The sequence below is a fragment of the Homo sapiens genome, chromosome 1 (genome assembly GCF_000001405.40).
Source record: "Homo sapiens chromosome 1, GRCh38.p14 Primary Assembly".
NCBI lineage: Eukaryota > Metazoa > Chordata > Mammalia > Primates > Hominidae > Homo > Homo sapiens.
The window spans coordinates 175,154,948-175,168,476 of NC_000001.11; the positions used below are offsets into that span (position 1 = coordinate 175,154,948).

General features: G+C 45.8%; 1 protein-coding gene across 9 annotated transcripts in view; it reads right to left on the minus strand.

Moving 5' to 3' along the window:
- Positions 1–2,038: 2,038 nt before the first annotated feature.
- KIAA0040 overlaps positions 2,039–13,529 on the minus strand; it is a 36,002-nt gene continuing 24,511 nt past the window's right edge. For all 9 annotated transcript variants that reach the window (NM_001319230.2, NM_001162894.2, XM_047435111.1 and 6 more), the window contains 2 exons: positions 11,615–11,790; positions 2,039–6,199 (listed from right to left, as the gene is read on the minus strand). In NM_001319230.2, the coding sequence (NP_001306159.1) occupies positions 5,767–6,066 (300 nt within the window). In that variant the 5' untranslated portion in view covers positions 6,067–6,199; positions 11,615–11,790 and the 3' untranslated portion in view covers positions 2,039–5,766. The remainder of the gene's footprint in view (positions 6,200–11,614; positions 11,791–13,529) is intronic.

The following is a 13,529-nucleotide window of genomic DNA, read 5'->3' on the forward strand; positions in this document are numbered from 1 at the left end:
ACATTTAATTTGAGAACAGGTGAACTAGCTAGATGGATGTTCTCCAGGAAACACTTCTAAGGTGAAAAAGATGTTGACTCACGCTTTCTCCTGATCTGGCCACCAGGTGGCACTGACAAGCTGGGGCGACTTCGTTGTGGGCAGAGGCGGGACAGATAATTAGGCAGCCTTGCCTAATCTGCAAATCTGCAGACCTTAATCCATGGAGTATTGGTAATCCTGTAGATAGTGCAGTATGTGGTGAAATTAGGGAACACATCACACCATGGGGAATAGAAAATGCTAATTATTTTCAATCCCTATCTCATTCGATTTGCCTGCATCATTTGACTCTATGGACCATCACTTTCTTCTTGGAAATTTCTTTTCCTTTGGTTCCTAGGACACAGCTCTCTCACGGTTTTCCTTCAACCCTTAATAATAATAAGTAACATTTATTGGGCACTTAATATAAGCCACGTCCTGTGCTAAATGCTTTGTACACACGATCATTTAATGCTCCCTATGAGGTAGCTACTCTCATTAGCTTTATTTAGCAGGTAAGTCTTACAGAGAGATTAAGCCATGGGTCCAAATTACATAACTAGTGAGAGTCGGAGTTAGCATCAGGGTTGGGACAACCCTAGTCATGAGTCCTAGCTCACTGCACTTATGGCTTCCAGAGAGCCCTGATGGTTTCTGAATCGTCCCCATCATCCTGTCTGCCTGCATCACTACTCCAGGGTGCACTTGCCTTTGTAGACTGTGCAGCTGGGGCCCTCCTTTCTCAGTTTCTTCCTGTGCAAGTCTCTAGACACCTCCTAGGCGATCTCCCCCGGCCTGTCCTGAAGCCAGCCTGGGAGCTTCCCTCTAAGGAAGCAATGGCCACACTGTCTTGTCATGGTTTGCTTGTCTGTGCCCCCCTACCAGGTTCTGAGCCCCTCTAGGACAACTTAGTATCACTGGCACCTAGCGTGCTTGGCATATAGTAAACAGTCAGAAATGTTAATGGGATGAACAGCCTCAAAAGAGGGCTGGAGGTACACAGTCACAGCCATTCCTGAAGAAATATAGTGTGACATTGCCCACACAGGTGTTTGAAAACAACCCTTTGAGTCTAAGACAGAAAGCGGGTTGAAGGGATTTTTTTCCAGTCCAGTAAACCTGTGACTTTGAATTGGGAAATACTACTAAGGTCAACGGGCAAGGGGCCAGTGCAGAGTGCTGTGATAAACTGAGAATGCTAAGGACGTGATGGCATTCATTGTCCAAATCCATATTATACCCCAAGGCCAGGATGGAGCCGGGGCAGGTGCGGCTGCAGGCATTGAGCACTGGCATCCCCTCAGGGGTGCAGCAGCTGCTCCCCTCCCAGATGGTTTCTGAGCATCAGTTCCTCCTCTGCACCAGAATGTTTAGCAATGTCCTGGGTGGATGAACAAGGAGCTGAATGAAGAGTCTCTGTTCTCTGGTTGTCATGAGTGTGTGGTGATGGGGAAGGGAGCCCAGGAATGAACTCATCTGAACTACAGACATAACCTGCCTTGGGCGAGATAAGGCAAAGAGTCCACCTGTGCTCTAGGCCTTCCTTCTTAAGCCCTCCTTGAAATCCAGTCAGCATGGCTGTTTTTCCCAGGTGTCTGACCCTGCCCCCAAGATCATAGACCTATGCTGTCCAGGATGGCAGCCGCTAGCCACGTGTAGCTACTGAGCACTTGAATCGTGGCTGGCATGGCCAAGCGCAGTTGCCCATGCCTATAATCCCAGCACTTTGGGAAGCTGGCGGGTCACTTGAGGCCAGGAGTTCAAGACCAGCCTGGCCAGTATGGTGAAACCCCATCTTTACTAAAATATAAAAAAAATTAGCTGGGCATGGTGGCACATGCCTGTCATCCCAGCTACTCAGGTGGCTGAAGCATGAGAATTACTTGAACTCGGGAGGTGTAAGTTGCAGTGAGCCAAGATCATACCACTGTATTCCAGCCTGGATGACAGAGCAAGACTCCATCTCAAAAAAAAAAAAAAAAAAAAAAGAAAAAAGAAATATGGCAGACATAGCTGAGCTAGTATACCTTTAATTTTATTTCATTGCAATGAATTTAAATAGTCACATGTGGCTATTGGTACCATATTGAACCATATTGAACAGTGTACACACACTTACACACACACATACACACAGTTTTTGCCCTAGTGGCTACTATAGAGGTTTTTGATCCCTCCTTTCCCAACAAACACTGGATTTAACTCAAAGGTCCATTCTTCCTTAGGTTTTTGCTATTTCCCCCCTTTTCCTTTAAGAAGCCATTGATGGACCTCATTGATGGAAAGTTCTGTAAGTGTTGCCAAGGAACATCAGTATATTTTTCCTGTAGCTGGCACCTTTGAGGGAGTCTGGTCTCCAAGGCCATCTGTTTTGCAAGCAAGGGTGAGACAGCCACATTCCTCATCCTCAGACCTATGACTCTACCATGGCGAAGGCGGTGACCAGGGAGGGCTGGGACATTTGTGTCACAGAAAGAGTCCCTGCATTGATCATTTCTGAGTGATGTCTGAGTGGGGGTAATACCTAATGTTAAGAGAGTAACCATCTGACTACATCAAGACTTTTCATTTTCAAAGTATTTTATTTAAATAAATTTTTCTTTTGTGTGTGTTTGAATTTTACAGAAAAAAATACTGACAAATACTATACAGCTTGGACCCTTTATATTTTTCTTGGAAAGGTGGCTGCCATTTTTCTACCTTTCTCCCTCCCTGCTCCCCCCAAGAAAAAGAAACATGGAATCCATTGAGCAATGGGGAAAGGAGCAATGGGGAAAGGCCTCCTCTGGCTGCCGTCCGGAGCCTGGCTAAAGCTGCTCAGAAGTCCAGGCCTAGGGGATGTCTTTCTCGAGCCTGTGCTGGTCTAGGAAGCCTCTTCTTTAGGAATCATTTTTTTGTCCCCCGTGAACTTACCCTCCCCAGATGAGTCAAGCAGTCTCTGGTCCTGAGGTCCCATGGGTTGCCAGTGGCAGTTCAGGGACAGAGGCTGGAAGGAGTGAAAATGGAGAGGAATAAAGGGCTGGGGCTGGTCTGGTGCAGGCAGAAGAGGGAATCAGAGAAGCATAAAACATGGAGAAAAAGATGAGAAGGAAGTGGAAAGAAGAGAGTGGATATCAACAATGGCCTTAGGCTCCTTTCATGCACCTGTTTATTTAACAAAACGTTTAGGGCCTATCCTGCACTGGGACTCCTCTAGTTACGCCAGGAAAGGTTGTCAGGGGAGTCTGTGATGGGGAAAAGAGAGGCCCCATTCTGGGTTTGGCTCTTCTGAGTCATCGGCTGTGGAAGTGACTGAGAAGTGAGTTTCTGGGTGTTTCATCCCTGGGGTGAGAGCAAGTCCATTGGATTAGGAGACAGCAGGGACATTGTGCCTGGAGATAGAGGCCTTGTCATGGCAATGACAACTGACTGCTGTCTTAATTCAAAGGAGCAAGCAGTTGCCATGGAAACCATGTTACTTGTATGGTCCCGGATCCCGGTGATCCGCCCTCCTAGATCATATCTGACACTACGTCTCAGCTGTCAGCCTCCACCTCTCCCCAGCCATCCATTCTAGGGGGACTGAGAGGTGGAGACAGGAAGGGCAGCTTGTCCTGGTGAGCAGTGGCAGTTGTGGGGAGATGTCTTCCACATCCCTGGGTTTGGTGCAGGCAGATGGCAAGTCATTCTGTTATGTGAAGGGCACAGCCAGAGGCCCCATGACAAACTCTCTATGTGACAAGGGGATAGAGAACCAGAGTGCTTCTTTCTCTGGTCAAAGGGGTTGATGAGTGGGAGGCCTGAGTGCTTAGGCAGTTTATGGCCATATAGGGTGAGAGGGCAAATGTGACTGGCTATAAAATATATGCAGGTTTAAATTATGATTCACAGGGTCATCTGTTAGAAAACCCTGGTGCAAGGGTCACCACTAAATGCCCACCCTCCACAGGCCTAAAGTACACCTGGAGGGCAGGTGAGTACCAAGCAGCCCAAGTGAGCAAATAGAATATATCTTTCCTTTAATGCAATCTTATAGAATTTAGTTTTTTGCTACTATAAATATCATAGTTTAGCTACATTATTAATTAGATAGCAATTTTGCCACTGTGTAGAATAGCTTCCTTGGGAAAATATTTCAAGAGAGCTGCCCAGCATATTTGTAAATAAACTTCTAGAGCATAACTTGCTCCCAAGGAGTGAATTGTCCATCTTTGTAATACAGTCACAATACAATAAAAATACCAAGCAGTTCATCCTATAAGTGGATTAACTCTGCTTCCCAACCTCACTCTGGCGGGGAAAGCCCTCCTCAGCTCACTGTGGATCTAATTTACATGTCCTCACATACCTCAAGGCACATGTGTCACCTACATGTGCTCTCCAGCATTAAACACCCAATTTCATCCATTGCAGCAATTAGTGGGCTCACTTAGAAGAGAAGATCACTCGGGGAGAACTGGTGAGGTATTACAAGCTTACCCTTAACAACATCACATATCCAACAGTAACCACAGTTAGTTATAAGTACCTACTGTGTGCAAGGCACTTGCCTGAGCTTCAATATAAATATAAATAAACCTCTTTATAGCTTCATCCTACTTTCATTTAAACTCTGTTACCTCTGCATCCCACCTGTGCCATACCGTGCACACATCACAACCTTATGACATCACTTCCAGTGTTGCCTTCTGTGAGACTGCACTGATGATTGTCTAGTTCCTTCCCTGCTGGAAACTTTGGTTATATAGGAGATACCTAGCTCAGGTGTAGCATCTCCTCACCCTTTCCATCTGTAAACATTGCACAGGTACACAGTTGCAGTCCACTGACATAAATGAGTGGGCTTCCATAATTTTCTAGCAGTCACCACCAAGAGCTCTTTGTTCTTGCTTGGAGAAAGGCACTTTGCTGAGTGGTTTGCGGGGGTAATGTTTCACAGAGAGGTCTTGGATCACATTAAACACCTCTCAGTGGCAATGAGGACGGACTTTGTCATGAGTTACAAGAAAAGAGCTTTCAATGAATTTTGAACCATCACACTTTAAACATCTTGGCACAGGTGAGGGGTCAGAGGCACAGAAACTTGGTGTGTCTGTATCAAGACACACAAGGGTGGGGACTGTAGCAGGTTGCTGGAATGTCCAATTATGAGTACTTCCAGTAAAAGTTTATGTGTAGAGTTAGAAATAGGAAAGCATGCATCTGTAACCTGAGTGGTTTATGGAATAGATGGTGTATGGGGGCCTTGCTGGTTAGGAAATTGTATATATGTGTCTGAATCTGGCAAGGCTTTCCCATGAGACATTTTTGTGACTGTAGATAATGTACTTCCCTGCACAAAGTACATAGCCAATGACCATTTGATGAGCAGAATATACTTGCCCACGTACCTGCTACCTGAATTTGTGTGTGTGTGTGTTACGTGCATGTGCACACACTTGGGAACCATATTGAGATGTATGGATAAATGTTCTTTGTGCTTTGCATGTGGGGTATGCCAGAGACAGGTGGGAGGCATGCCTGGGTCTGCAGTAAGGAGCATTGCTATTGGACACATAGCTGCCAAGACAGTATCCAAGAATTGTCCACGTGGTCCCTGGGACTGCCCTCCACTGGGACACTTAGTCTGAGGTTTGTTCCTTGGTTGAGTAGTTACTCTGTGGACATGGACATAGTGCATTATTTCAGGGGTTCCTGAAATGTCTGTGTGTGGTCAGAAGGAGGCTTAGCCCCAGAAAGGAAACACCTCTGCTTCCTGCCTAACTAAACAGGCAGTGATGGTCTCTTCTCCATCTGGAGAAGCTTGGGTTGAGCAGAGATCCAGAGGTCTTCTTCATCCTTCTTCTTCTTCTTCTTCTTCTTCTTCTTGTTCTTCTCTGGCTGCTGGCCCCTCTTGCCTGGTGGGCTCCAGCAGCAATGGCAACAGATGAAGAGGAGTGTGATGATCACCAAGAGTGGCAGGCCCAGGAGGACTCCCAGGCAGATGGTGTTGTAGATGCCTTCTTGGTGTTTGGTCAAGATGGTGTCCCAGATAGAGCTGAAGAAGGCACTGATTCTCTCCATGGTGCTTGGCTAGATTAGGGCCAGAGAACCCTCTCGGCTTACAAGCAGGTCCTGGGCTCAAAAGGATGCAACCTTGACCACTTGTAATTTATTCCTCTTCCAGCTTTGGGTTTGGGCATGCCACTGGCAGCACCTGAAGAGATTAAAACAGACAACTGAAGAGAAATGCAGGGGGACTGGTCTACAATTTTAATAGTGTCATAGATTTTAGGCTTAGGAAAGGGGAAGGAATTGAAGATTTCCAGGGTTCAGTAAACTTGTATTGACTCAATAAACAAGATAAATGCATGCATGTAATCAATAAGCATCAACTAATTCTTGCTATGTACACACATTATATTGGGCTTAGGATATAAAAATGAATAGTATATCAGGTCTGGCACGTAGGAAGTTCTCAGTAGTTGTTGGATAAATGAATCAATGTGTGTGTTCAGTGTTCTGATAAGGGGTTGCTTCCCTGGACCCTTCTGCAACAGCAGTTCTCAATCTTTTTTCCACTGTAGCTCACCTGACAGATGTTGAACACACACTCCCCACAGGACAGGTCTGTATGTAACCTTTTATTAACATAACTTGCCATTTTCAAAGCTTATTGAAGCTTAAGCACAAAGTGAGATGTCTACTTCTTGCTGTCTGTAGTAGGGAACCTGGGTCTCCTCTGGGCTAAGAGGTCATCAGTCCTCATCCTGCCCCATGCCTGCTTTCCGTGCTGTCCCCTCATGATCTCTTCCCTGCTCCATGTCTCCTCCCCTCCTTATATCACATTCCTGTGCCTGAGAAGTCCTCTCCTCCCAAGGCTGAGAGAACCAGGGGTGACCATTTGCTGGCTTTCCACTTTCTACCTTCTACCTTCCTCTTCCTCATTACCCTTCTCTATGTTTTCTATTCCTTGACCAAATACTCCAAAGTCTCCTGCTCTCTTTCTTCTCTATGGGAGAGGAGTCCTTGCAGGCTGCTTAGTGATGGTGCTTGGAAACCAGAGTGAGGTTCCTGGGTGCCTCCCTGTTCCTGTTCTGAACTCAGCATACAGCTGGGGCCATTCTCCTGGTTGCTTGTACAGAGCTGCCCCTCTTCCCTGGTCACCCCTCCACATATATCTTAAAGCTCAGCTCTCAAGTATAAGGTCTTAGAGGCTGCCTTCCATTCTGGAATTACAGGTTCTTGTGTACAAACAAGACTTCAAGGACAGGCATGATTCAAGGAAATTTAAGAGGCCTGTTGGTGTAAGACATTCTCCAGGACCCAAATATTAAGGAGTGGTTGATTTTCAGGATGGACACTCCAGAGATCATCCCAATGAACTCTCTCACTTAAGGATAAAGAATCTGGGGTCCAGAGCAGTGAGGTGACATGTCTGAGGCCATAGAGACCCACCCAGGCCACACAGGCCCACCCAGACCCACCCAGACCTCTGGACAATGGGTTCAGCACTCTCCGCAGGCTGCCAGGCAAGCAGAGGAACTAAGGATGACAATGATGTCACTTTATACTTGCATTTCACTTCATACTTTTCTAATCATTTTCATCTGCATTTAATCTTTTGAGTGAGCTGTGTCTACGGATGGGAACACTGGGGACCTGGGCCTGGAATTCAAGATCAGCTCAGGCTTCATTGCATACATGTGCAGCCCTCCTGGGTGATGTTTTCTACATGATGCCCCAGCAATTGTCCTCAGAAGTCTAATTCCTTGGATAGCATGCTCTATCAATGTCTCATGATCCCAGTGCCCATGTGCCTATCTAAGCCCCAGCTGTCCTCAGTCCTAGTCTGCTGGCATGTAATCCCACCCTCTCATGGCATTATTTACATAGATTTTGCAAGCGTACAAATTGGCACCTACTACTGAGCCTTTTGGTCCATGGAGCCCAAAGAAATGTTATAGGATGACAATAATAATTGTAGCCAACTTTTAGTAAGCAGTAATTATATACCAGGCACTTTTCTAGGCACTCTATTAACTCATTCATCTTCATGACACCCTTATGAAGTAGGTACTGTGGTTCCCCCATCCTGCAGCTGAAGAGATGGAGGCTCAGGCCACACGGTGAGTGAGTGCCAGAGCCGGTCTCACTCATTCTGGAGAGTTTGGCTCCAGATCCGCAAGGAGTGATCTGTTCACAGGCGTTGCTCTGTGGCCTCCTATTCCTTTGTGTGGAATTAACCCATTTTTGGCAAGCAGCCCAGGATTTACAGAATCTTACAATATTTGGCTATTCCCCAGATTAACTTAAATGCTTATCCCAGTCTATTGTAGGAAAGACTGCAAAGAGATTTATTTCTCATTGTTAGATCCTTCCCAAATGCATGAAGATACATAAAATAAAAACAAAGTTCTGCCCAAGTGCAGGTTTATAGAAAGCATATGGCTGCCTGAACTTAAACTCAACATGCAACAAAGAAAAGTATCCTGAGGAGTCATGTCCTCTCATCCAAGGCTCTGCTCAAGCCCCTCTGAGGCCTGGGAACAGCCCATGCCATGGATCTGCCCACACACCATCAAGCTGCCAGGCTCTCTGTAGAGAAAAGCAGCCTTTGGCATGCTTCTAAGCCCCGGTGATGCTGTATCTCAGGCCACTCATCTCTCTTCTGGATTTTCCTTCTCCCTCTGCAATGACCTTTGCTTTTACCTCAGTCTTGAGTGGGTCTGTGCCCCTGTCTGTTGGGATCTTTCTGCTCTGTTGTGGAAAGGCTTTGGGTGCTTTTCTTTAATTTGATTCTACTCACAGCTTTCCTGATTCACGTTAGATAACACCACCACCACAAATGTTCACCAACTATTTTGTGCCAGGGGTTATGCTGTTCCTACAGGGAGCAGATGGGTAACAGGGGCCCCTCTGGGTTCAGCCAGCAAGGAAGGAGGGCGAGCTCATGGAGATCAGGTCAGTTTTCATGAAGGTGGAGCCACCTGGGGGACGACCTTGAAGATGCGTAGTATTTTGACAGAGAAATATAGGTGAAAAGGATGTTCAAACATTCCAGGCAGAGAAACTTCTAGAACATGAGCAGGAGAACAGGGGGTCTTCTGGTGAGCCTGGAGCTCAGGGTGGGAGAAGAGAGGATGAGAAGGGACACTAGGAGGTAGGCATGGCCATGGTAGAGGGGCCGTCATAGGGTTTGCGTTTATTTGGAGGCTTTACAACAGGAGAATGTTGTGATCAGAGCTGCCTTTCAGGAAAAGATAACAAGATCTGAAGAACTCTGGAAAATGTGTTAAGAAAGTTCTTTAAATCTCCTTATCCGTTTATCAAACATTCACTGAGCACCTAATATGTTTCATGCACTGTTGGGTGTTGAGAATTCAATAGTGAATGACAAAGATATGGTTTCTGACATCGGGAAGCCTCGTCCATTCCAGGGGAGTTATTACTATTGATAGATCAAGTCATAAAAGCCAAGTACAATAAGCAAATTCCAAACTAGATTGCTTAGTTGGCTGAAGTAGAAGCATGCATTTGAATTATATGTTTATCTCAACATCTAGGGCCCTCCCACCCCTCCCAACCTTTGTCTTAAACTCATCCATCCCTTGGCACCTAAAATGGCCTTTGAATAAATAGATTTCTTTTCAAGCTAAAGCTAAGTCAATAATTCTCTTCTGGATTCCTAAAGGGACTTATTTGAGGCTGCTCCCCATACAGCCAAAGAGTATTCATTAACATTTGGGAAGCCAGTCTGGGGAAAATTCGATTAAAAGGTATTCTTTATATTTTTTAATCTAAGAATTCTTTTCTAGGCACCCCCCAGGTTACTTGCTGAGCTCTGCTAATCTATAGTGTTTCATTAGTATTTATGAGTCTTGCATTATTAGCATTTCCAGAAAACAATCAAATATCTCCTTAGTGGCATGAATTAAAAGTGAGAACTTCCATGGAATGCAAAAGAAGACACACTTCGGCCCCTGGAAGTACACTCTAGCCTTTTGTTAGCTTTTGAATAGCACTGACAATGCTTGAAAAGTAATTCATCTATTTTTGTAAGACCAACAATAGGTGCCAACCAACCTCATCTGTCTGATTGTGGCTGTGGGGGTGGACGAGAGGACAGAGAAGAGGGGAAAACTTTCTTTCAATTTTTTTGAAACCAAATATTATTTACCTCCATATCCTCTGTAGTATCTAGCTAGGGAGACAGAATCATTCATTCACTCTTTCTGTCGCAAACTTCTATCCACCCATGTATGAGGTGACGATGGGAAACAGTGATCCCAGAGCCAGAAGGCCTGGTTTTGAGCCTTGGGTCAACCTGCATGACCTTGGCAAGTTAACCAGACCTCAGCTACAAAATGAAGCTAATGATCTTCCCTCATAATGACATTGTGGGGATCAAAATGATTCAATATATTTAATGCATTCTGTAACTGTAAAATACTTACACAAATATAATCCATAAAATAGTGAGTTATCTTGAAATAACAATGGACTAATTCCAGTGCTGGGCTTTTCTTCCTCCTTCCTCACCTCCAAGCCAATCCCTATTGCCAAAGAACCATGGGTCCCCACCGCATTGAAATGAAAAGGTCTTCAGAAATAATCTCCCTAATATGGTTGGTCTGTAGGTCTGTGGCTGTTGCTCTAGACTCTGGCATCCAGAAATCAGATGGAGAGCGGTCGCTTGGGGAACATCTGAAGGTGCCTGGAGGATTGCTGAGTTCATAGGTGAGGTGGAGGAGAGCAGCTAGCCATCTACAGGCCCCAGCCTCCCTCCCAGGCTTTGGGACCCTTGGAAGTGTTACAGGGGTGGGTCATTCCACAGGGAGGTCTGCTTCAATCTCTGAGAGCCAAAAGCTACTGCAGGCTGTGTCCAGGGCTGGCCCTGACACTGCTGTTCCTTCCGGTGCTCTCCAAGAAGGGAGCAGGGCGTTCTATTCTGCATCAGCCTCTCATTGTTCTTGTTTTTTAGACAAAATAATAAATGTAAAGCTCTAGAACAGTGTCTGTGAGACAGTAAATACTTTCTGGAAAGGTTAATAATAAGGATCACAATGGCACCCAATTAGAATCCCTGAGACCAACTCCAGAGTGACCTCCAAATGGTACAAATCACCACCCTTCTTGTAGGGGGAGGTGGGAGGTTCAGTTCTCTATGAGAACCTTAAGAGACCCCTCTTCTGCGACTGCTGACTCCTGGATTTGTGTGGGGGGCCATTTTATAACTGACAGTTGGGAGCAAAGACCTCCCCTTGGGCCTTTGCTCAAACAGCTCCATTGAGCTTTCTACCTTGGGTGCGCTGATCACTGTGCTTGCTTTAGCTCCTCTGCCCAGGATCCCAGGTGACAGCAGGATGGACTGTTGGCTACGAAGAGTCATTTAAGGAGTTAAAAATACAGATTCCTGCAGCCTGCTCCTGGAGACTCTGATTCAGTCGGGTCTAGGATGGGCCCAGGAATTTATGTTTGTAGCAAGCAGCCAGAGTGTTTCTGGACAATTGTCAGGTTTGGGAATAATTGAATAAGCAAGCTGAGCAGCCGACCTTCATTTATGAGCACAGGAGCCATGTGCTAAATGAGGGGAAGAATCATGGGTGAGGAGACGGGGGATGAAGTTTACCTCCACACACAGCAGCAAAATGGCCAGCCAGCTTGGGGAGCCTCCTTCCACGTTACTTCTTGCTTTGCGTTGTCAGGGGATCTCGGCCAGAACTGCTTTCCTGGAGGTCACGTTCAACGTAGTAAACAATCGCTGAACACCCGCCCTGTGCATTCAGATCCTGATCACCGCCCAGTCTAGCAAGGGGGAGAAATAAAAATAGAAGTATAGTGTGATGAGTTCTGTGGTCAAGTTCTGTGTTGGGGGACATGGGAGCAGCATGGCAGAAGCAGCCAGCGGTCCTGCCTGGAGAAGGTTGAGGGAAGGCAATGAAAAGAAACGACCATCATGACTGGTGTCTGAGCAGGCATCGTGCAGTGACTAATTACAGAGAACCTACTCCTGCTGGGAACTTTGTACCCAGGACAAGCAAACCAGATCCCTGTCCTTTCTGTGCTCCAAGTCTAGTGTGGGAACCAAACCAAACATTCATCAAAGAACCATATAGGCAGGTGTGAAAGTGTAATTATGGTGAGTGCCACGAACAAGACCCCACGATGCTATGAAAGGGGAAACAGGGAGGTTAGGAAGGCTCTGATGAGGGATGACTGAGAGAAGATCTGAATGACAAAAACAGCAAACACATGGCTAGGGTGTCTGAAAAGTTTTGAAACACAAAATAAACTTATTTTAAAGCATTTCCAAGTAATATGCTTGATAGGCTTTTCTTCAACCCTCCAAGACCTTTTCAGGTGAAGTTCTCTACATTTAAAGAATGAGTTCAATTGTTAATACACTGTAAAGTGTCCCCCCAAAGTCTGGAAACATAGGCAAACAATACCTGTATTGTGCTTTTTATTAGATGAACAAATTAGACCCATTGCTGTCCCTGAAAAGGACCTGAAGGGACAGGGTAGCTGACAGCAGCAGTGGTGGGGTGAGGGTGGATGGCAGGGCCCATGAATGGCAGCCCCACACCACAGGACCTTGTAAGCCACGTGGAGGGCTAGAGTTTGCTGTGAGAGCCACGGGGTTTTAAGCAAGGAGGGGACATAATTGATGTGGATTTCATAAAGAACACTCTCTCTGACGTGTGAGAGGACAGATGGGAGAGGGTGTAGGGGGAGGAAATGATCACAGTTGTCCAGAAAGTGGCAGCTGGGCCAAGGGTGATGGTGGTCGGAAAGGGCGGGATGATGGCGTGGCTCAGGTGTTTTCCAGCAGATATGGGTGGGAGAACTCTCAGGCAGAGGGACATGAGAGGAGGTGTCCCTGGGTGTGCCCAACTTTCCTTCTTCTAACCCTAGTCTCCTATGAGGGCTCTCAGTCTGGAATGTATATGTATATTCTTTTTTTTTTTCCTTTCCAAAACAGGAAAATCATCAGTCTCTACCTGACTCCTCACCATCTCTCTTGGGGGGTTAAAACACCTTATTCAACCCCAGGCCTCTCCACCCTGCCTGTCCAAACCTTGCCCCAGCTCTCAAACCACACTGCCTTACAAAATCCCTGTGGTTACGATAATATCACACACTTCAGAAACCAAGGCTCTCTGGCAGCGAGGGCACAGAGTGGAACCTCAGTCAGTAGTTATTAACTTGGCTATTCTGGATATATATTTTCTTGATGGTTCTCACCTTGCTAACCTGGCATGCTCAGGTGCCCTCTAATAGAGGTAAGTACTGTTTTGTACAAAAATGGTCTGATCACAGTAAATGATCTGCTTGTAGAACATTACATTTATTACTTAGACCCAGCTCTAGGCATTCTGAAATAGGTATCTACATTTTCCCCAATTTAATGAATTGCTTCAAATAACTAGTCCTAATACAAAGTCGGAAGCTCTCTTTTCCCCCCAGAGTATATATGATGCATAACTAGATATTCAGTATTAAAGGAAAATAGATAGTATTTTCCCCCAGAATTGATGTTATAA